Below are 22,342 nucleotides of genomic sequence, written 5' to 3'. Positions count from 1 at the left end.
ACCCACTTCACCTATAAAGACACACACAGACTGAAAGTGAAAGAGTGGAAAATGATATACCATGCAACTAGAAACCAAAAAAGAGTAAGAGTAGCTATACTTAGATCAGATAAAATATATTACAATCAAGACTGTAAAAAGAGGTAAAGAAGATAACTACATAATGATAAAGGAACCAATTAGGCAAGAGAAAATAATAATTATAAGTATTAAATATCTGTGCACCCAACACCTAAACTCCCAGGTATATAACACAAACATTAATAGACCTAAAGGGATAAAGGGAAAGATAGGCTGCAACACAATGATAGTACAGGACTTTAACGCCCCATTCTTAGAAATGGACAGATCTTCCAAGATTTCAAAAATCAACAAAGAAACATCAGACTTAAACTACACACTAGACCTAGTAGGCCTGACTGACTGACACAGAACATTTTACCCAACTACTGCAGAATACAAATCCTTTTTGTCAGCACATGGATTCTCCAGAATAGATCATATCTTAGGGCACAAAACAAGTTTCAAAAAATTCTAAAAAGTAGAAATCATATCGAGTACCTTTTCTGATTACAATGAAATAAAACTAGAAATCACTAACAAGAGGAACCTTAGAAATGTCACAAACACATGCAAATTAAACAACATGCTCCTAACCAACCAATGAATCAATGAAGAAATTAAGAAGCAAATGTAAAAATTTTCTGAAACAAATTAAAATGGAAATAAAACATATCAAAATCTATGTGATACAGTAAAAGCCAGTAATAAGAGGAAAGTTTAGAGCAATAAGCACATATATCAAAAAAGTAGAAGGCCTTCAAATCAACAACCTAACAATACACCTCAAGGAACTAGAAAAGCAAAAACAATCCCAAGTGAACATTAGCAAAAGGAAGGGAATAACAAGGATGAGAGCTGAAACAAATAAAATTAAAACTGAAGAAAAAATACAGAAGATCAACAACACAAAAGGTGGTTTTGTGAAAAGATAAAATTGATAAGCCTTTAGCTAGACTAAGAAAATGAAGCCAGCATTACCCTGATACCAAAAGCAGAAAAGGACACAAAGAAAAGAGAAAATTACAGGCCAATACTACTGATAAACATAGATGCCACAATTCTCTACAAAATATTAGCTGATGGAATTCAACAATACATTAAAAACTCATTTACCATGGTTAAGTGGGAGTCATTCCAGAGATAGAAGGACAGTTTAACTTATGTGAGTCAACAAATGTGATGTAGCACATCAATAGAACCAAGAAGAAAAACCATATGATTATTTTAACAAATTTCAAAAAGACATTTGATAAAATTCAACATCCGTTTATGATAAAAACCCTCATCAAAATTGGCACAGAAGGAACATATCTCAAAATAGTAAAGGACATATACAATAAATCCACAGCTAACATTGTACTGAATGGGGAAAATTTGATAGCCTTTCCTCTAAGATCTGGAACAAGACAAGATACCCATTTTCACTCTTTGTATTCAATATAGTATTAGAAGTCCTGGTCAGAGCAATTAGGCAAGAGAAAGAAATAAAAGGCATTCAAACTGGAAGGTAGAAGTCAAATTAGCCTTGTTCTCAGATTACATGATCTTGTACTTAGAAAAACCTAAAGACTCCATCAAAAAAAAAACTGTTAGAACTGATAAACAAGTTTACGCAAGTTGCAGAATACAAAGTAGACATACAAAAAACAGTTGCATTTATATGTACCAACAGAAAACATTTGAAAAAAGAAATCAAGAAGGCAATCACATTTACAATAGCTACAAATAATATCAACTATGTAGGAATCAAATTAACCAAAGAAGTGAAAGATGAAAAGTGAAAGTTTCTATATGAGAAACATTATGAAACACTAATGAAAAAAACTGAAGACACACACAAAAAACAGAAAGATATTCCACGCTCATGGATTGGAAGAGTATTGTTAAAATGACAATATTACCCAAAGCAATTTCTAAATTCAATGCAATCTCTATCAAAATACCAATGACTTTTTTCCACAGAAATAGAAAAAGTTTCAAAATTTATATGGAATCACAGAAGACCCTGAATAGTCAAAGCAATCCTGAGCAAAAAGAACAAAGCTAGAGGCATCAAACTACCTGTCTTTGAAATTTACTACAAAGCTACAGTAACCAAATCAGCATAGTACTGGCATAATAACAGACACAGAGACCAATGGAACAGAATAGAGACCCAAGATATAAACCCATACATTTACAGCCAATTAATTTTCAACTAAGGTGCCAAGAACATACAATGGGGAAAGGACAGTCTTTTCAATAAATGGTACTGGGAAAACTGGATAACCATATGCAGAAGAATGAAACTAGATTTCTATCCCTCAATGTAAACAAAAATCAAATAAAAATGGATTAAGAGTTGAATCTAAGACCTGAAACTATAAAACTACTAGAAGAAAACACTGGAGAAATGCTCCAGGACTTTAGTGTGGGCAAAGATTTTGTGTGTGTGTGTAAGACTTCAAAACCCCAGGCAACAAAAACAAAACTGGGCAAACAGGATCATGCCAAGACAAAATGCTTCTGCACAGCAATAGAAACAATTAACGAAGTGAATAGCCAAACTACAGAATGGGAGAAAATATTTGCAAACTACTCATCTGATAAGGGATTAATAACCAGAATACATACAAAATTCAAACAACCCAGTGGCAAAACAAAAACAAAACAAAACCCCAATCTGATTTTAAAATGGGCAAAATATTTGAATAGGCATTTCTCAAAAGAAGACACACAGGCCGGGCGCTGTGGATTATGCCTGTAATCCCACACTTTAGGGGCAGAGGCACACAGATCACGAGGTCAGGAGATCGAGACCATCCTGGCTAACACAGTGAAACCCCATCTCTACTAAAAATACAAAAAATTAGCCAGGCATGGTGGCGGGCGCCTGTAGTCCCAGCTACTTGGGAGGCTGAGGCAGAAGAATGGCATGAACCTGGAAGGCAGAGCTTGCAGTGAGCCGAGATCACGCCACTGTACTCCAGCCTGGGTGACAGATGAGACTCCGCCTCAAAAAAAAAAAAAAAAAAAAAAAAGACATACAGAAGGCCATCAGTTACATGAAAAAATGCTCAACATCACTAATCCTAAGAGAAATGCAAATCATAATACAATGAGATATGATGTCACCCCAGTTAAATGGCTTTTACCAGAAAGATAGGCAAAAATGGATGCTGCTGGCAAGGATGTGGAGAAAGGGGAACACTTGTACACTGTTGGTAGAAATGTAAATTAGTATAGTCACTATGGAGAACAGTACGGAGAGTTTTCAAAGAACGAAAAATGTAATCCAGCAATTCCACTACTAGGTATATACCCAAAAGAAAGAAAATCAGTATGTTGAAAACACATCTGCACTTCCATGTTTTTTGCAGTACTAATTTACAATAGCCAAAATACAGAATTGACCTAAGTGCCTACTAACAGATAGATTTAAGAATGGCATATACATACAATAGAATATTATTCAGCCATAAAACTAATAATTAAATCATGTCATTTGCAGCTATGTGGATGGAACTAGAGGACATTATGTTAAGTGAAATAAGGCAAGCATAGAAAGACAAATATCACGTATTCCCATTCACATGTGGGAATTTTTTTTAAAAAGCGGGTCTCATAAGACCCAGTGTTAGATAGATCAGTAGGGTGGCTACAGTTTACAATAATCTATTGTGTATTTCAAAAGATCTAGAAGAGAAAAATTCCAGTAGTTTTAGCACAAAGACAAATATTTAAGATGATGGCCATCCCAATTACACTGATTTGATCTTTACATTTTATATGCATATATTAAATTATCACATGTACCCCCAAATTATGTACATCTCTTACGCATCAATATAAAAAAACATAAATGTTTTCCAAGTCTGCCAGATAATCTTAGCTAAAAACTTAAGAAGATCAAAAATAACATCAAGTATTTTTCCAATCACAGTGGCATAAAAGTAGAAATCAATAACAGGAGGAATTTTGGAAACTCACAAATACATGAAAATTAATAACATGCTCCCAAACAACCAATGGGTCAAAGAAGAAACTAAAAGAGAAATTTTAAAATATATTGAGACAAATGAAAACAGAAACACAACATACTAAAACTTACGGAATGCAGCAAAACCAGTTCTAAGAGGGAAGTTTTTAGCAATAAGTGTTTACAACAACAAGAAAATCTCAAATAAACAACTTAATGCTAACCCTTCAGGAACTAGAAAAAGAAGAACAAACTAAGCCCACAATCAATAGTAGGAAAAAATGATAACGATCAGAGCAGTAATTGATGAAACAGAGACTACAAAGACAACAAAACGACCAATGGAATGAAGAATTGGTTTTTTGAATAGTAAACAAAATCAACAAACCTTTAGCCAGACTAAGGAAAGAAGGGAGATAACTCAAAATCAGAAATGAAAGAAGAGTTATTACAACTGATACGACAGAAATACAAAGGATCATAAGAGACTACTATGAACAGTTATATGTCAACAAATTGAAATGGTTAAGTTCCTAGAAACATACAACCTACCAAGACTGAATCAAGAAGAAATAAAAGATCTCAACAGATGAGTAAAGACACTGATTGAATACTAAAATATTTCCCCTCAAAAGAAAGGCCTAGGACAGGAGGGCTTCACGGTGGAATTCTGCCAAACATTTAAAGAAGAACTAATACTAACCCTTCTCAAACTCTTCCAAAAAAACTTAAGGAGAAATACTTCCAAACTCACTTTATGAGGCCATGATTATTCTGATACCAAAGCCAAACAAGGACACCACAAGTAAAGAAAATTAGAAGCCAATATCCCTGATGAACATACATTAAAAAAATCCTCAGCAAAGTCTAGCAAACTGATTTTAACAGTACACTAAAAAAGATCATTCACCATGATCAAGTGGGATTTATCTCAGGAATGCAAGAATATGCAAATCAATAAATGTGATATACCATATTTAACAGAAAGGACAAAATGATATGAACATCTGAATATATGCAGAAAAGACATTTGGTAAAATTCAACATCATTTCATGATTAAAACTTCCAACAAAATTGGCATATAAAGAATGTACTTCAGCACAATAAAGGCTGAACATGAAAAGCACACAGCTAATATACTCAACAGCAAAAAATCAAAAGCTTTTTGTCTAAAATCAGGAAAAAGATAAGGATGCCCACTCTCATGCTTCTATTCAATACAGTACTGGAAGTTCTAGCCAGAGCAACTAGACAAGAAATAAAAAGCACTCAAATGGAAAGGAAGAAGTGAAAGTGTGTCTGTTTGCTGATGACATAATCTTATATTTAGAAAATCCTAACAGCTCCATCCTAAAACTGTTAGAACTAATAAATGAATAAAGCAAACTTGTAAGGTACAAAACCAACACACAAAAATCAGCATTCTTTTATACTAACAACAAACTATCTGAAAAAGAAATTAAGAAATCAATCCCATTCACAATAGTATCAAACAATAAAATACTTGAGCAAATTTAACCAAAGGAGGTGAAATATCTGTATACTAAAAACCACAAAACATTGATGAAAAAATGTAGATAATACAAACACACTGAAAGGTATTCAGTATTTAAAGTTATCCCAGTATTTAATATTGTTAAAATGTTCACACTACCTGCTATTGTACTACCTGTTATTGTGTCTCAAAGCTCATGTGTTGCAACTTAATCAACAATGCAACAGTGTTTGAGGTGAGACCTTTAAGAGGTACCATGAGGGCTCTGCCCTCATTAGTGAGTTAGTGATATTAAGAAAGTGGATTCTTTTTTTTTATTTTTTATTTTTATTTTATTATTATTATTATTATACTTTAAGTTTTAGGGTACATGTGCACAATGTGCAGGTTAGTTACATATGTATACATGTGCCATGCTGGTGTGCTGCACCCATTAACTCGTCATTTAGCATTAGGTGTATCTCCTAATGCTATCCCTCCCTCCTCCCCCCACCCCACAACAGTCCCCAGAGTGTGATGTTCCCCTTCCTGTGTCCATGTGTTCTCATTGTTCCATTCCCACCTATGTGTGAGAACATGCAGTGCTTGGTTTTTTCTTCTTGTGATAGTTTACTGAGAATGATGATTTCCAATTTCATCCATGTCCCTACAAAGGACATGAACTCATCATTTTTTATGGCTGCATAGTATTCCATGGTGTATATGTGCCACATTTGCTTAATCCAGTCTATCATTGTTGGACATTTGGGTTGGTTCCAAGTCTTTGCTATTGTGAATAGTGCCACAATAAACATACGTGTGCATGTGTCTTTATAGCAGCATGATTTATAATCCTTTGGGTATATACCCAGTAATGGGATGCCTGGGTCAAACGGTATTTCTAGTTCTAGATCCCTGAGGAATTGCCACACTGACTTCCACAAGGGTTGAACTAGTTTACAGTCCCACCAACAGTGTAAAAGTGTTCCTATTTCTCCACATCCTCTCCAGCACCTGTTGTTTCCTGACTTTTTAATGATTGCCATTCTAACTGGTGTGAGATGGTATCTCATTGTGGTTTTGATTTGCATTTCTCTGATGGCCAGTGATGATGAGCACTTTTTCATGTGTTTTTTGGTTGCATAAATGTCTTCTTTTGAGAAGTGTCTGTTCATGTCCTTCGCCCACTTTTTGATGGGGTTGTTTTTTTCTTGTAAATTTGTTTGAGTTCATTGTAGATTCTGGATATTAGCCCTTTGTCAGATGAGTAGGTTGCGAAAATTTTCTCCCATTTTGTAGGTTGCCTGTTCACTCTGATGGTAGTTTCTTTTGTTGTGCAGAAGCTCTTCAGTTTAATTAGATCCCATTTGTCAATTTTGGCTTTTGTTGCCATTGCTTTTGGTGTTTTAGACATGAAGTCCTTGCCCATGCCTATGTCCTGAATGGTAATGCCTAGGTTTTCTTCTAGGGTTTTTATGGTTTTAGATCTAACGTTTAAGTCTTTAATCCATCGTGAATTAATTTTTGTATAAGGTGTAAGGAAGGGATCCAGTTTCAGCTTTCTACATATGGCTAGCCAGTTTTCCCAGCACCATTTATTAAATGGGGAATCCTTTCCCCATTGCTTGTTTTTCTCAGGTTTGTCAAAGATCAGATAGTTGTAGATATGTGGCATTATTTCTGAGGGCTCTGTTCTGTTCCATTGATCTATATCTGTTTTGGTACCAGTACCATGCTGTTTTGGTTACTGTAGCCTTGTAGTATAGTTTGAAGTCGGGTAGTGTGATGACTCCAGGCTTGTTCTTTTGGCTTAGGATTGACTTGGCAATGCGGGGTCTTTTTTGGTGCCATATGAACTTTAAAGTAGTTTTTTCCAATTCTGTGAAGAAAGTCATTGGTAGCTTGATGGGGATGGCATTGAATCTATAAATTACTTTGGGCAGTATGGCCATTTTCACAATATTGATTCTTCTTACCCATGAGCATGGAACGTTCTTCCATTTCTTTGTATCCTCTTTTATTTCATTGAGCAGTGGTTTGTAGTTCTCCTTGAAGAGGTCCTTCACATCCCTTGTAAGTTGGATTCCTAGGTATTTTATTCTCTTTGAAGCAATTGTGAATGGGAGTTCACTCAGGATTTGGCTCTCTGTTTGTCTGTTATTGGTGTATAAGAATGCTTGTGATTTTTGTACGTTGATTTTGTATCCTGAGACTTTGCTGAAGTTGCTTATCAGCTTAAGGAGATTTTGGGCTGAGACAATGGGGTTTTCTAGATATACAATCATGTCATCTGCAAACAGGGACAATTTGACTTCCTCTTTTCCTAATTGAATACCCTTTATTTCCTTCTCCTGCCAAAATGCCCTGGTCAGAACTTCCAACACTATGTTGAATAGGAGTGGTGAGAGAGGGCATCCCTGTCTCGTGCCAGTTTTCAAAGGGAATGCTTCCAGTTTTCGCCCATTCAGTATGATATTGGCTGTGGGTTTGTCATAGATAGCTCTTATTATTTTGAGATACGTCCCATCAATACCTAATTTATTGAGTTTTAGCATGAAGGTTGTTGAATTTTGTCAAAGGCCTTTTCTGCATCTATTGAGATAATCATGTGGTTTTTGTCTTTGGTTCTGTTTATATGCTGGATTACATTTATTGATTTGTGTGTATTGAACCAGCCTTGCATCCCAGGGATGAAGCCCACTTGATCCTGGTGGATAAGCTTTTTGATGTGCTGCTGGATTCAGTTTGCCAGTATTTTACTGAGGATTTTTGCATCAATGTTCATCAAGGATATTGGTCTAAAATTCTCTTTTTTGGTTGTGTCTCTGCCCGGCTTTGGTATCAGGATGATGCTGGCCTCATAAAATGAGTTAGGGAGGATTTCCTCTTTTTCTATTGATTGGAATAGTTTCAGAAGGAATGGTACCAGTTCCTCCTTGTACCTCTGGTAGAATTCGGCTGTGAATCCATCTGGTCCTGGACTCTTTTTGGTTGGTAAGCTATTGATTATTGCCACAATTTCGGAGCCTGTTATTGGTCTATTCAGAGAGTCAACTTCTTCCTGGTTTAGTCTTGGGAGGGTGTATGTGTCGAGGAATTTATCCATTTCTTCTAGATTTTCTAGTTTATTTGCATAGAGGTGTTTGTAGTATTCTCTGATGGTAGTTTGTATTCAACTCTTGTGGAAGTCAGTGTGGCGATTCCTCAGGGATCTAGAACTAGAAATACCATTTGACCCAGCCATCCCATTACTGGGTATACACCCAAAGGATTATAAATCATGCTGCTATAAAGACACATGCACACGTATGTTTATTGTGGCACTATTCACAACAGCAAAGACTTGGAACCAACCCAAATGTCCAACGAGGATAGACTGGATTAAGCAAATGTGGCACAGATACACCATGGAATACTATGCAGCCATAAAAAATGATGAGTTCATGTCCTTTGTAGGGACATGGATGAAATTGGAAATCATCATTCTCAGTAAACTATCACAAGAACAAAAAACCAAACACCGCATATTCTCACTCATAGGTGGGAATTGAACAATGAGAACACATGGACACAGGAAGGGGAACATCACACTCTGGGGACTGTTGTGGGGTGGGGGGAGGGGGGAGGGATAGCTTTAGGAGATATACCTAATGCTAAATGACGAGTTAATGGGTGCAGCACACCAGCATGGCACATGTATACATATGTAACTAACCTGCACATTGTGCGCGTGTACCCTAAAACTTAAAGTATAATAGTAAAATTTAAAAAAAAGAATAAAATCCTGGTTTGCAACAACATGGATGACCCTAAAGGACAGTGCTAAGCAAAATAAGCCAGGAACAAAAAGACAAATATTGTACGATGCCATCTACACGTGGAATCTAAAAAAGTTGAACTCATAGAAACAGAGAGTAGAATGATGGTTACCAGAGCCGGGGGGAGGGGGCAAGAGGAGCTGTTGATCAAAGGGTACAAATTTTCAGTTAGACAGGAGGAATAAGCTTTAGTGATCTATTGCACAGTTGGTGACTACAATAAATAATAATGCATTGTATGTTTCAAAATTCCTAAAGGAGATTTTAAGTGATTCACCACAAAAAAAATGTTAAGTGTATGAGATGACGGTTAGCCTGATTTAATCTTTCCACATTGTAAACATACATCAAAACATCACATGGTACCCTATATATACAATTATTTGTCAAATAAAAATAAAATGAAAAATATATGCAATAAAAATATCCATCTTACTTGGTTGTGCTCTAGAGTTTCAAAAAGTTGTTCATCAGACTTTAGTAATGGAATGCCTGTTCGATAGTGAACTTCGTAAGAAAACTTCATGGTTGCCCAGGTCTGACTGATTTCAGTAATAACCTAGTAATCAACAATATAATTAATGTGCACAAAATTTAATTGATAATCAATATGTAGACTATTATCTGGAATTAATTTTTTTCAACTTTCAAAAATGCAAACTGATATCAAGTATTATTGGCTTGAGTTTTTTCCTCCAAGTAATTCATGCTAATGGGGTTTGAAGAATGAATTTTATCACATCAAAGGTATGAGCATCACACTAACATCAAACTTCTACTGAATGTGAGTTTATCATCCCTAACCAAAACACAATTCAAGAGCAGGAAGGGACTTAAATGTTTGGTAGATACTATTTACAAATTAGCCAGCATGAAACAGGTAATGCCTCAAATGTGAATGAATCTCAGTCTTCTGTGTGAATCTGGGTAAGTTAATTATCTCTTTATACCTCAGTTTCCCCATGTGTAAAATAGAGATACTATTACTTACCTCAGAAGATTAAATGGGTTAATATAAATAAAGCACTCAGAGTGGTGTTGGCTACAAAATAAAGGATATGTAAGTATTTTCTGCTATAATCATCATCATCAACAAGACCAATCCTCCTGTTTTACTGTGGCTTAGAATGATTCTAGTTCCTGCTCATCCCACACCTAATGAACAGCAGGGAACAAACTGGGACTCATCTCTCCAGGCTCCCAGGACATCAAAAGGACTTTTCTCTAAGTTGGCTTCTATGCAAATACCCAAAATTAGCCAAGTAGAAATGACCCAGTCCCGAGGACACTACCTTCTCAGTCCCCAGCTCTTTCACCGCCTTGTCCACAATCCTTCGGACATCATCTTCCACTCTGTGTAACCGCAGTGCTAACAAATCTGCCAAAGTTGTGGCTTCATTTATTAAAAACTTGACCTGATTGGGGGAAAAAAAGTTAGACTTTATATTCCACATATATGAACGGTTCCTTTTGCCTAAAGGCTGGTGAAATGAATCTTAACTAAAATATACTCAAGTCAGGTGCTGAGTACATCTCTCGTCTTGAAATACGTGGAGAATCTAAGACACTCCTTTTTAACTCACAATTCCTGAGGCGTCACCTGCCGGAAGCAAGGGCCACAGTTTAGTCACATCCGTGCTACACTATTTTCTTTGTTTCACATCTTTCCCTTGTCGGCACGTTTCTTATCTCCTTTGCCCACAAAACCCATTTTTAAAGAGAATCTCATTGTTCATTTATTATAATTTGGTTGAAATCCCAGGAATCAGGTAGTGGCTCATTTGTCTTTTCTTCCTAAAGAACCCTATTCACTGAACATAATTCCCAGCTGCTTCTGTGATTTAACCTAGTTTTATCACTAATTTAATCTCAGTTCATTGGCAAAAAAAATAGTCTTACAGTGTCATTATTCATATTTACCATGTGAAAAATAATTCTCATTTCCACATTGTCTTGTGACAATGACTCCCCTTCTCTCACATTGACTCTCCTTCCCTCCCCTATATTGGGTCCTTGAGACATCCTCAGCTCTTCGACATACCCAAACTCACTCATGTCTCCTGTAAGTGAAGAGTTGAGCCAGCCATATGGGTTGCAGGAAAGCCATTTTCTTTCCGGCTTTTGCTAAGAATATCCAGAATCTGCTTCTTGGAAGCTGCCACCCTCTGCCCCTCCCTACCCTCTAACATTCCTTAGCACCATCCACGCCTCTGCATAAGAGGACCAAATGCCCTGATTTGCTCCGGACTGAGGGGTTTCTAGCAAGTGGATTTCAGGGATGTGATACTTTCAGTGCTAAAATCTGGAAAGTCCTGAGAAAGCTAGATGAGTTTGCCAGACTATCTCTGTGTCAACTTTGGCCTCACTCCAGAGTTGCTGGGAGCCAGGGAGCTAGGTCTGTCCTTGAGAAAGAATGAGGAGAGATGAGTAATAGGGCCACCCTGATTAGTTGTGCAATCTGTGTACTGAACGTGGACACCAGCCCAGATGACAAATGGAGATGGAAGCCAGCCTCCGCTCTGCTGTCCTGGGGACAGCCTGGAGGAGGGTGCCTTTTTCTAAATTGTTGGTCGGATCAGGCGACTTTTTCTAGACAGCAAAAAGGCATAACACAGCAAGTAGAGGCTATGCTGAGGGGGGTCTTTTCATAAATTACACTTCATCTCAGATGATGCAAACCAAGAAGTAACACTTCACAGTCATAAAAAGGTTCATTAGTGAGACCAAGGATACTGACCCCAATAGCTTTCATCAGCTGGTGCCAATGCCTGTCCCTGAGGGCAGGGCTCTGTAACTCTGTGATGGCCCTCAGGGAGGCTGTCATGTCCTTAACTGTGCCTTCCAGGCCCGTGTAAGCATCCCAGACGCGGACTTCCTTGTTGAGTGACCAAATTTCCTAAAGAAAAGTGGAGGAAAAAACCTAGCTCCCAAGATATAACACAGTATATATTAATAATTTGCCTCCTTTGACATATATTTCCCAACTCCTGGATTAGAAAAGAGTGAAAGCATTTGAACTCCTAGACCAAGGAGCAAAACCAGAGAAACGAAAAGGGATCCACTCATTTGTACATTACAAGCCCACTCCGTACAAGCCACTTGTATACACTGCTTTCTCATTCACAAGATCTAACTGAATGTCCCATGAGGAAACACAGGTAAGTAACAGAGTTCACAGGACACGTGCAATGAAGAATGTTTCTTCTATAAACATAAGTAAATGGAAACAGACTGTTATCAGATTACTAAGACCTCCTTCGGAATACATGACTCATTTAAACAACAGCCTTGGAATGTTGATTACCTTTGAGTGCCTGTTTCTTGAAACCTAAATATTTCATCATCTTAAAATGCCAAATAGGTCCTTTGACTTGGCTGGTCCTCTCAGCCCAAGGAAAAACATCAGCAATTGTGAATGAGAAAACCCATAAGAAAACAACTAGAACTTAGCACGAAATAAAGGACAATGTGACCCCATGACATCCGAAAGAATGAAGGGACATTTTAGTTTGGGTCTTTGGGACTGGCATAATATGGGGGAAAATACAGGCGAGAGTGGGTAGAAGCTGAGGCAAGGAAGCCCTGGGGTGGAAAAAAAGCAAATGGTCCTGTCACTTTTAACTGCCTTTCACTGATATGCATTTTGCCTTTATCCAAAGATGCTCTGTCTTCAGAGGGCATACGGCTATGCAGAATAGACATCAAATTCCAATAAGTACCAAATTACAATAGGCTCAGTTCTGTATATGTTGAGCCCCCTTGGGATACCAGAGTCATTAATAAGAACAAAGATCATAGTATTCCGCATAAATCCAGAGGTGGCATGCTCCTATTAGTTGCCCCAAATTCCAGAGCCAAAAGGTACCTTTTCAGATACAAAATGTTTATGGTTGCTAAGCAAAGAAATCAAAAGCTTTCAGAAGCCTGACCCCTTGGCCCTGATAATGTTCCTCTCTGTTCTAGGAAGCTGTAGGAAGCTCATAATTAGAGTAGCTTCTCATAAATTCATTAACCCTAATATGCTTCTATCAACTCACTCACAGAAAGACAGGCTTGATTAGAAGTGCAACTGGCTAAGGGTGAAAAAAACACTGTCTGCTATCACTCTGTTAGAAGTAAATAAGTACATGCAGCCCAATACACCAGATACTAGATTAGGGAAGATGGAAGGAGGTGGTGCTGAGAAAGATAAATTGTTGTAATAGACAGTTATGGAACTCGCCTTGGCAAACCTTCTGAGTTCTACATCCATCTGTTCCACATGAATCTGTCTCCACTGGGTTTTAGTCCAATTATCAATGCTTCTCTGAAAACGCAAAAGCAGATAAAAGTGTCAACAACATTTGGTGAAAGCAAGTCTCTGCAGCAAAATATATAAACTGATGATACACTGTAACTCTATCATCCAGTGGAAAGTCAATTTTTAAAATATTAACTGCACTTGTCAAAACTTCCCTATCACCAAAACAAAAAAGTTGTCAGAACACGTCAAGCTAAAGGCTAAAACATTATGATATATTAATTTCTAGTAGCGATGATAAATTCCATACACATACCATCATTATCACTTAATCCTGTGTACTTTGAATAAATTGATAAGTAGATTATTAAATAACAGACTTTTATAATTCTACATGTAACTAAATAAGCTTTCACATGACAATTTTCAACCATTATAAACAAAACTCTCATCAACCATTTCTTGACCATATTTTATATTTTGTTAATATATTTCTATATGGCTTTCAACTAACATAAAAGATTATAGTGCTTGTTGCAATATGCCTCATTCCCTAGAACTTACTTTTTCACTTAAGTTTTTAACTTAATTAACCACATACAAATTATTTTTAGGAAGGGTCTGTTTGTGTATGCCCAGGCATGTAAGTATAAGCATAGGAATATGTATGAGTTGGTATGCACAGATGACTACACATGTAATATATATTTATATATTAATTTTTATTTTATTTATATTCTTTACAATCTCCCCAAAGGATTTGAGGCAGTCAGCTTATTAAACAAAGTTTCATCCTGAACTAAAAATAAAAACAACTGGTATTCAAAGAAGAATCATCCACTAACAGAGATACATGAACTCTAATTTGGGGCTGGGGTGAGGATCTAATTTCCACATATTTCAAGACATTATAAAACCCAAATAGAATAATATAGGCTCCACAAACTGCATATGTAAAAGAACTACTAAATAAAAAGCATGTTTTGAAAAAGCACATCTTACTCGAACATAAATAATGACATCCCACAGTCCCTTGAGCAATTTTATTTCTTTGCGACACTGTTTCATTTGTTTGTACTCTGGAAGAGCCACTTCAAAAAGACGAGTAGATTCTTGCATCTGCAACATTTCTTCTTCTAAGGCCTCAAGCTCTTCATTTGCCTAAGGAGAGAACATAAACACCTGCATACAAACTGCCAGAGAAAGAGAAGACATGCAGTTCTGTAGCTCTGGTTATCTCGACATTTCAATCTTTGATTTTTAACGGGAAAATAAAAATAAATCTGCAGCGTAATTACTGGCAAAATGTAGGTTTTAGAAGAGCAAACTCAGCTGCACAAAAAGTGAGAACAGATTACTGTTAAACACAGTAACTTCAACAATACTGTCCCTATACACGTATTAGCAAAATTTCTTCTTCATCAGATTTCTCTGAATACAATTTTTCCTCTTGGTTTTTGTACCGAGAGCTGGGGAATTTGCTGAAGAACAAAAGGTGGGGCTCTAGAAACTTCCATGTAAGAATGAATTATATTTTAAGTAATGACTTAGTTTATTAAAACTTTCAGATTTAAAAAATACCCTACAGATTATCAATAATATCAAATGCACTCAAGAGAATTTGTGAAATAAAGCATAAAGCTAAAAACACAGCCCAGTATGAAAACATCACCATATGACTGTCTTTATCAAGGTTCAATTATATACCCCATCTACATAGAATAGTTTACATTTTACACCAAACGTAAATGCTGACATGTTTTTTCTTTTGTGATGACCAAGTCTTAATTTTCATCTTTAATTAACAAAATGGTACTATGCTTACATGGTAAAAGTTCAAGGTGTAGAGGAGCACTTGCAAGGCAGGAAAGCAATCCTTCAGGTTCAGTCATTCTTTTGGATGCTATTTCTGTAACTTCCAATTCTGTGCTCAAGCTGCTCTTTGTTGATTGATCACGTTTAGACATTATACTAGGTTACTACTGGCTTTGCAAAAGAAGGATTTGACTTTGTTTTTCCACTTTCTATTTTCTCCCATCCTCCTCCCAAGATCCAACAATTGTATTACTTTAGTTTCTTTGAACTTTAAATACCTATACTTAATGCTTTTATGTTCCATCAACCTTCAACTCTTTTTCAATTGACAAATAAAAATTGTATATATTTATCACGTACAACATGATGCTTTGGAATTGCGAGGCTGGGCACAGTGGCTCATGCTTGTAATCCCAGCACTTTGGGAAGTCACAGTAGGTGGATTGCTTGAGCCCAGGAGTTTGAGACCAGCCTGGGCAATGTAGCAAAACCTCATCTCTATTAAAAGTGCAAAAAAAAAAAAAATTAGCTGGGCATGGTGGCATGTGCCTATAGTCCCAGTTACTCGGGAGGCTGAGGTGGGAGAATGACCTAAGTAAGATCAGGGAAGGTTGAGGCTGCACTGAGTTGAAATTGTACCACTGCACTACAGCCTGGTCAGAGTGAGACCCTGTCTCAACAAAACAAAAAATCTATATATTGTGAAATGGCTCTATAGAGCTAATTAATATATGCATTATCTCACATACTTCATCATCTCACACTTTTTGTGGTGAGAACACTTAAAATCTACTCAGCAATTTTCAAAATACAGTACGTTGCTATTAACTATAGTCACCATATTGTACAAGAAGTCTTGTGAACTAACATCTCCCCAACCCCAACTCTGTCTCTTCATTTCCTACTATGTAAAGAAGAGTATTAGCATCCTGCTTTCATTTTTACAAGTTATATCTTCACATACAAGAACTGCAATTCTTTTAGTTTTAAAATGTTTTATTATGAAACATTTTATACACATAAAAGGATATATGCGTTTGTTCCCCACCTAGCCTAAGAAATATGACTAATAATTTTTAATGCCTTTTCTTAATTTCATCCCTCTTTTCCCTACTACATATTTAACCACAAAACCTACCTTTTTATTTAATAATCTAATTTTTATAATATTTTCACATTAATGTATTGCTAAGCGCTAAATGTTAAAATTTATGTTTGTGAAATGCAGTTTACTACATATATCACATTTCAATTGATATTTATGTCCACCTATATATTCATGATGATGTGTGTGAAGTTCATTTCCCCTACTGCATAGTACTACATTATATGAATACACACTATTTTTTTTTACTTCTGATAGTCATTTTGTCTTTTCCTATGTTTCACCCTTATTACTAATGCTTCTGGAAATTTTCACGTTCCCTATCGTATAGTATTTTACGTAGAGTTTTCATTCTTTTATTAGGTAAAAAATGGCTGCTAAGTGTTTCTATCATGAATGAATGTTGAATGATAGCTAAAGTTCTTTTGGCATTTCTCGCGATAATCATACGATTTTTTCTCCCTAATTTGTTAATGCAATTAATTACACTGATTTTCTAATGTTAAGTGAAACTTATTTTCCTTAAATGAAAACTTGTTTATAAATTGGTATAATTTGATTGTTTTGTTTAGTATGTTTGTATCTATATGTACGTGAGAAAGACTGATCTATATTTTTTTCCTTTCTCATACTATGCCTTTATAAAAATCAGACATGCTTCACAAAGTAATTTTTGAGTGTTCATTCTTCTTCAGGTTCCTGGAATCATGTGAATGAGATCCGTTTCTTGAAAGCTTCTTAAGATTCACCTGTAAAGCCATCAGGGCTTCTTAGTCTCTTTTTTTTTTTTTTTTTTTTTTGAGACGGAGCCTCACTCTGTCGCCCAGGCTGGAGTGCAGTGGTGCAATCTTGGCTCACTGCAAGCTCTGCCTCCTGGGTTCATGCCATTCTCCTGCTTCAGCCCCCTGAGTAGCTGGGACTACTGGCGCCTGCCACCACGCCCGGCTAATTTTTTGTATTTTTAGTAGAGACAGGGTTTCACCGTATTAGCCAGGATGGTCTCGATCTCCTGACCTTGTGATCTGCCCACCTCGGCCTCCCAAAGTGCTGGGATTACAGGCGTGAGCCACCATGCCCAGCCTTCTTAGTCTCTGTTTTGGAAATTTTTTTGTTTTTTAACTACTGGTTAATATTTTTCTTTTTATTTTCTGACTGGCTAAGTTTGAATAGTTATATGACTACTCAGATTTACTGAGACAGTTTTGGTAAATTATATTTTTCTAAAAATTTATCCATTTTAAGTTTTTAAGTTTCTTATTAATAGTGCTCTATATTTTTGAATATCTGCTGTTTCTGTACAATCATTCCCTATTTTATTCTAATACTGTTAATTTTGCTGTTTTTCTGTTTTTCCCTTGATGATTTCACCAGAGGTTTGTCCATAGAGTTAGTCTTTTCTAAGAAGCAAATTTGGCATTGTTTGGAGCATAACTAGTTATTCACTATAAATAACTAGAGTTAGTGATGGTTCACTATAAATAACTAGAGTTATGTTAGTAATGGTTTATTGGTGGTAAATATATTGCATTTTTGTTTACCTGAAATATCTTCATTTCACTATTATTGAGAGAGAATTTTTCCCAGTAGAATTGAAAGACATCATCCACTACCTTCTGGCTCCGATTGTTGCTAATGAGAAGTATGCTCTTAGCCTAATCATCATTTCTAACAAGTGACCAGTCTTTTCTATCTGGTTGCTTTGAAAATATTTTTGCTTTTGGTATTCTGCAGTTCACTGTGATGTGTCTAGATGCAGTCTTTGTATTTATCCTGGTTGGGATTTGGTGAATTTCCTGAATCTATCGATTCATGTTTTGACCAGTGTATTAGTCACGGTTCTCCAGAAAGACAGAACCAATAGGAAAAAATAAATAGATACATGAGGGAAGTTTCATTAGGGGTATTGGCTCACACGATTATGAAGGCTGAGAAGTCTCACAATAAGCTATTTGCAAGCTGGAAACCCGGATGCCAGCAGTGTGGCTCAATGCAAGTTCAAAGGCCTCAGAACCAGGAAAGCTGATAGGGTAATCCTCAGTCCGGGGCCAAAGTCCTAAGAACCAGATGCTGAGGGTGGGAGGCTGCAGGTTCAAGTCCTGGAGTCCAAAGTCCAGGGACACTGGAATTCTGATGTCCAAGACCAGGAGAAAGGTATTCCTTTTCCAGAGGAGACAGCAAATTTGCCTCTCCTTTGCCTTTTTCTTCTATCTGGGCCCCCAGCCAATTGGACAATGCCCACCCGCACTGCAGGTGGATCTTCTCCACTCAGTCCACCAACTTACAAACCAGTCTCTCCTGTGTCCTCAGACATGCCCAGAAATAATGTTTTACCAGCTCTGTAGGTATCCCTTAATCTAGTCAGGTTGACACCTAAATTTAACCATCACAACCAGTCCTTTAAGTCTTAGCTATTATCTTGCAGACTATATTCTGTTCATTCTCTCTTCCAGGAAGTATGAATAGAACAGTTGGACGGCATTCTAACTTCTTTCTATGCGTCCCTTAGGCTCTTTTATATTTTCCATCTCCTTACACCTATGACTGCGTTCTAAGTGATTTCCTCCAATGTAATTTGTATTTCACTAATTCTCTTTCCAATTTTAATGAGCTCTTTAACCCATCTGCTGAGTTGTATTTTTTTTTTCACAACTGTATTTTTCATTTCTGTAAGTATCTGGCCCTTTTTCAAATTCAACTGATCATGGTTGATAGTCTCAAAACTGAGAACTTGCTCATTTTTTTCAATATTATCTTTTATTTCCTTCTAATATCTGAAACTTTGCATGCATCTCTATCCGTGGTTTCTTTCAACTGACTCTTATGCGTAATGGTGTGTTCATTGTTTTATTGTGTACTCATATTTGACTGAACTTAATCTGTTGGACCCCCTAAAGAGACTGAATGAGAGTGCTTTTTTCCAGAGATGATTTAGGTTTGCTTCTACTAGTTACTAGGAAGATACTTGTAACCATTTCAATTTCCTGTCTTAGAAATTCCTTAATCAGAGGGGTAGTATAAAACCGGACCATAGACCCTTGTGAGAACAGGAATATGTTTACAAACTCCCAGAGTATCTTTTTCTGTTTTGTTTTTGTTTTTTTGAGATGGAGTCTCGCACTGTCGCCCAGGCTGGAGTGAAGTGGCGCAATCTCGGCTCACTGCAAGCTACACCTCCCAGGTTCACGCCATTCTCCTGCCTCAGCCTCCCGAGTAGCTGGGACTACAAGCGCCTGCCACCACGCCCGGCTAATTTTTTGTATTTTTAGTAGAGACGGGGTTTCACTGTGTTAGCCAGGATGGTCTCCATCTCCTGACCTTGTGATCTGCCTGCCTCAGCCTCCCAAAGTGCTGGGATTACAGGCGTGAGCCACCGCGCCCGGCCCCTTTTCTGTTTTTTTCACCCTACTCTGAGCATTAGTGAAGACCCACAGTGATCTCATCGGCTTCCTTTGCAGGCTGCAGACCTTCCCTAGCCCACTCTCCAATGAGGGTATCACCCTTAACAGCATCTTCTACTTCCCCATGAGAAACTCAATCTCATAGTTCTAGACTTCTGATATTTCCATTTTCACTACAGCAGCACAGGCTTCTGCATTTGCCTCTATTTTTTCTTGCCCTTTAGAGATTTGTTTTATGTTCTTGTGAACTCCGCAACAGATTAAAAATTACACATTTGTGAATATGTATTCAGCATCTGTTTTATGAAAGAGGGCTTTTCAAAATGTCTGGTCCACCATAATCTCCAAAGCCAATATCCCTTTGATTTATTTTTAATCGTTTTTTTTCCTATCACTTACACTAATTCCATTATTCCTAGAAATATATACCCAGTTATGGCCGGGCACAGTGGCTCATGCTTGTAATCCCAGCAAGTTGGGAGGCTGAGGCAGGCAGATCACTGGAGGTCAAGAGTTCAAGAACAGTCTGGCCAACATGGCGAAACCCTGTCTCTACTAAAAATACAAAAATTAGCCAGGTGTGGTGGTGCGTGCCTGTCTGTGGTCCCAGCTACTCAGGACGTTGAGGCAGGAGAATTGCTTGAACCTGGGAGGCAGAGGTTGTAGTGAGCTGAGATCATGCCACTGTACTCCAGCCTGGGTGACAGAGCGAGACTCTGTCAAAGAAAGAAAAGAAAAGAAAAACGAAAGGAAAAGGAAAGGAAAGGAAGAAATACCCAGTTATGTTAATTCAGCTGGTTATTATACAGTTACTATATCTTTGGCTGTGAAGAAACGGTAGTACTTAACCAGGGAACCTCATTTTAAAGGGAGGGATTCACTGTACTGTTCTCCTTATTTGTGGAAAGTCAGTGTTTTCTGTCTTGTGGACTGAGATGCCTTCAGAACCAGGGTCCACCATACCAGCCCAGAACAATAATACATATGCCTTTCACTGAGTCTAACTAGATTTACATTAGACATGTCTGCTGAACAAACACACCAAGAACATGACTTCAAGAAAAAGTTCACCCAGCCCTACTACATTCAAAATATTCCTGTAGTTATAAGCGTACAGTCTCTGACTTTTAAATATGTAACTACATGCTGTTATAGTATAGCATGAACATGATACAATTCAATAAGTAACTGTAGTAAATGTTTACATACAGCATGTTGGTTAGTCAAGTAAAAACGTTTCCCCATCCACAATCTGTTCAGACCACCTGCAATTTAGACATAATCTTTAAAAAATAAAAAATAAAACCAAGTATATTAGCATACTCTAACCTACTCCCTTTTCAATGAATATGTTAACCAATTTTCTTCTGCCAAGTGAAAGAGGCAACATGATGCTATAGAATGGTGTTTTCTGAATAAGTTTAAAGCAATTAAATCTAAATTCAACCCAAAATTTGGAAAGAGAGGTAAGGGCTCTGTCAGCCGCATCCAGCTAAGGAGTTAAGACTATCTCCAGCATGAAATGAAATCAGGGTGACAGGCTAGATGAGCAACTCAGAAAGGTGCCCAGCTCCTAAATCTAAACTTCACCCAATTATTTTCTTATTTTGGTTGCCAGGTTAAGTTCCTAGAGAAACAAAGACACCATTTTTCTAATAAAAGTTTAAAACATCTTTTCAAGTGTTCTGTGAATTACTTACCATTTGGATTCTTTGCCCACCATATTCATTCTTATAGTCAACTATAATAAAGTACAGTTGTTCATTATAAACTAGGATTGAATGACTCAACAATCTTCATGTCCAGGGTTAAGAATAAGTTATGGGCTTCCTTGACTATGGTTAAAAGTTACGGGCAAAAGAATCACAAGAGAAAGGGTATAGTGGTTAAAATTTCTGATTAAAAAAAAAAAAAAAGTTTAGATAGCCAGAATGTTAATCCTAGTTCTGTCACTTACTAACAGAAATCTGCAAGGAATTACTTAATTATACAAGCCTTTTTTTTTTTTTTTTTTTTTTTTGAGATGAAGTCTTGCTCTGTCGCCAGGCTGGAGTACAATGGCGCAATCTCGGCTCACTGCAATCTCTGCCTCCTGGGTTCAAGAGATTCCCCTGCCTCAGCCTCCTGAGTAGTTGGGACTACAGGCACCCACCACCATGCCCAGCAATTTTTTTTTTAATTTTTATTTTAGTAGAGACGGGGTTTCACCGTGTTGGCCAGGATGGTCTTGATCTCCTGACCTCATGATATGCCCACCTCGAATCCCAAAGTGCCTGGGTTACAGGTGTGAGCCACCGTACCCGGCCACAAGCTTGTTTTTTTAATTGAAAGAGGAAAAGTAATACAAGCCATATCATAGGGAGACTGAGAATTAAAAAGAAATAATGAAAGTCATATGCTTAACAAAATTCTTGACATATAGTAAGGACTCAAAAAATAGTAGTAGTTGTTACTGTCTCTCGTATGATTA

General features: G+C 37.1%; 1 protein-coding gene across 1 annotated transcript in view; it reads right to left on the bottom strand.

Annotated features, from left to right (window-relative positions):
- The window catches only part of DNAH11 (dynein axonemal heavy chain 11), a 358,801-nt gene that overhangs the window by 272,011 nt on the left and 64,448 nt on the right, over positions 1-22,342 (bottom strand). Inside the window, exons 21-25 of the mRNA NM_001277115.2 lie at positions 14,557-14,715; positions 13,537-13,620; positions 12,052-12,210; positions 10,607-10,729; positions 9,751-9,873 (exon numbers count right to left, since the gene is read on the bottom strand). Of these exons, the coding sequence (NP_001264044.1) occupies positions 9,751-9,873; positions 10,607-10,729; positions 12,052-12,210; positions 13,537-13,620; positions 14,557-14,715 (648 nt within the window). The remainder of the gene's footprint in view (positions 1-9,750; positions 9,874-10,606; positions 10,730-12,051; positions 12,211-13,536; positions 13,621-14,556; positions 14,716-22,342) is intronic.

The sequence above is a fragment of the Homo sapiens genome, chromosome 7, assembly GCF_000001405.40.
Source record: "Homo sapiens chromosome 7, GRCh38.p14 Primary Assembly".
In the NCBI taxonomy this organism is placed as follows: domain Eukaryota; kingdom Metazoa; phylum Chordata; class Mammalia; order Primates; family Hominidae; genus Homo; species Homo sapiens.
The sequence above is the reverse complement of the archived record's forward strand: the minus strand, read 5'-3'. Positions and strand labels throughout refer to the sequence as shown.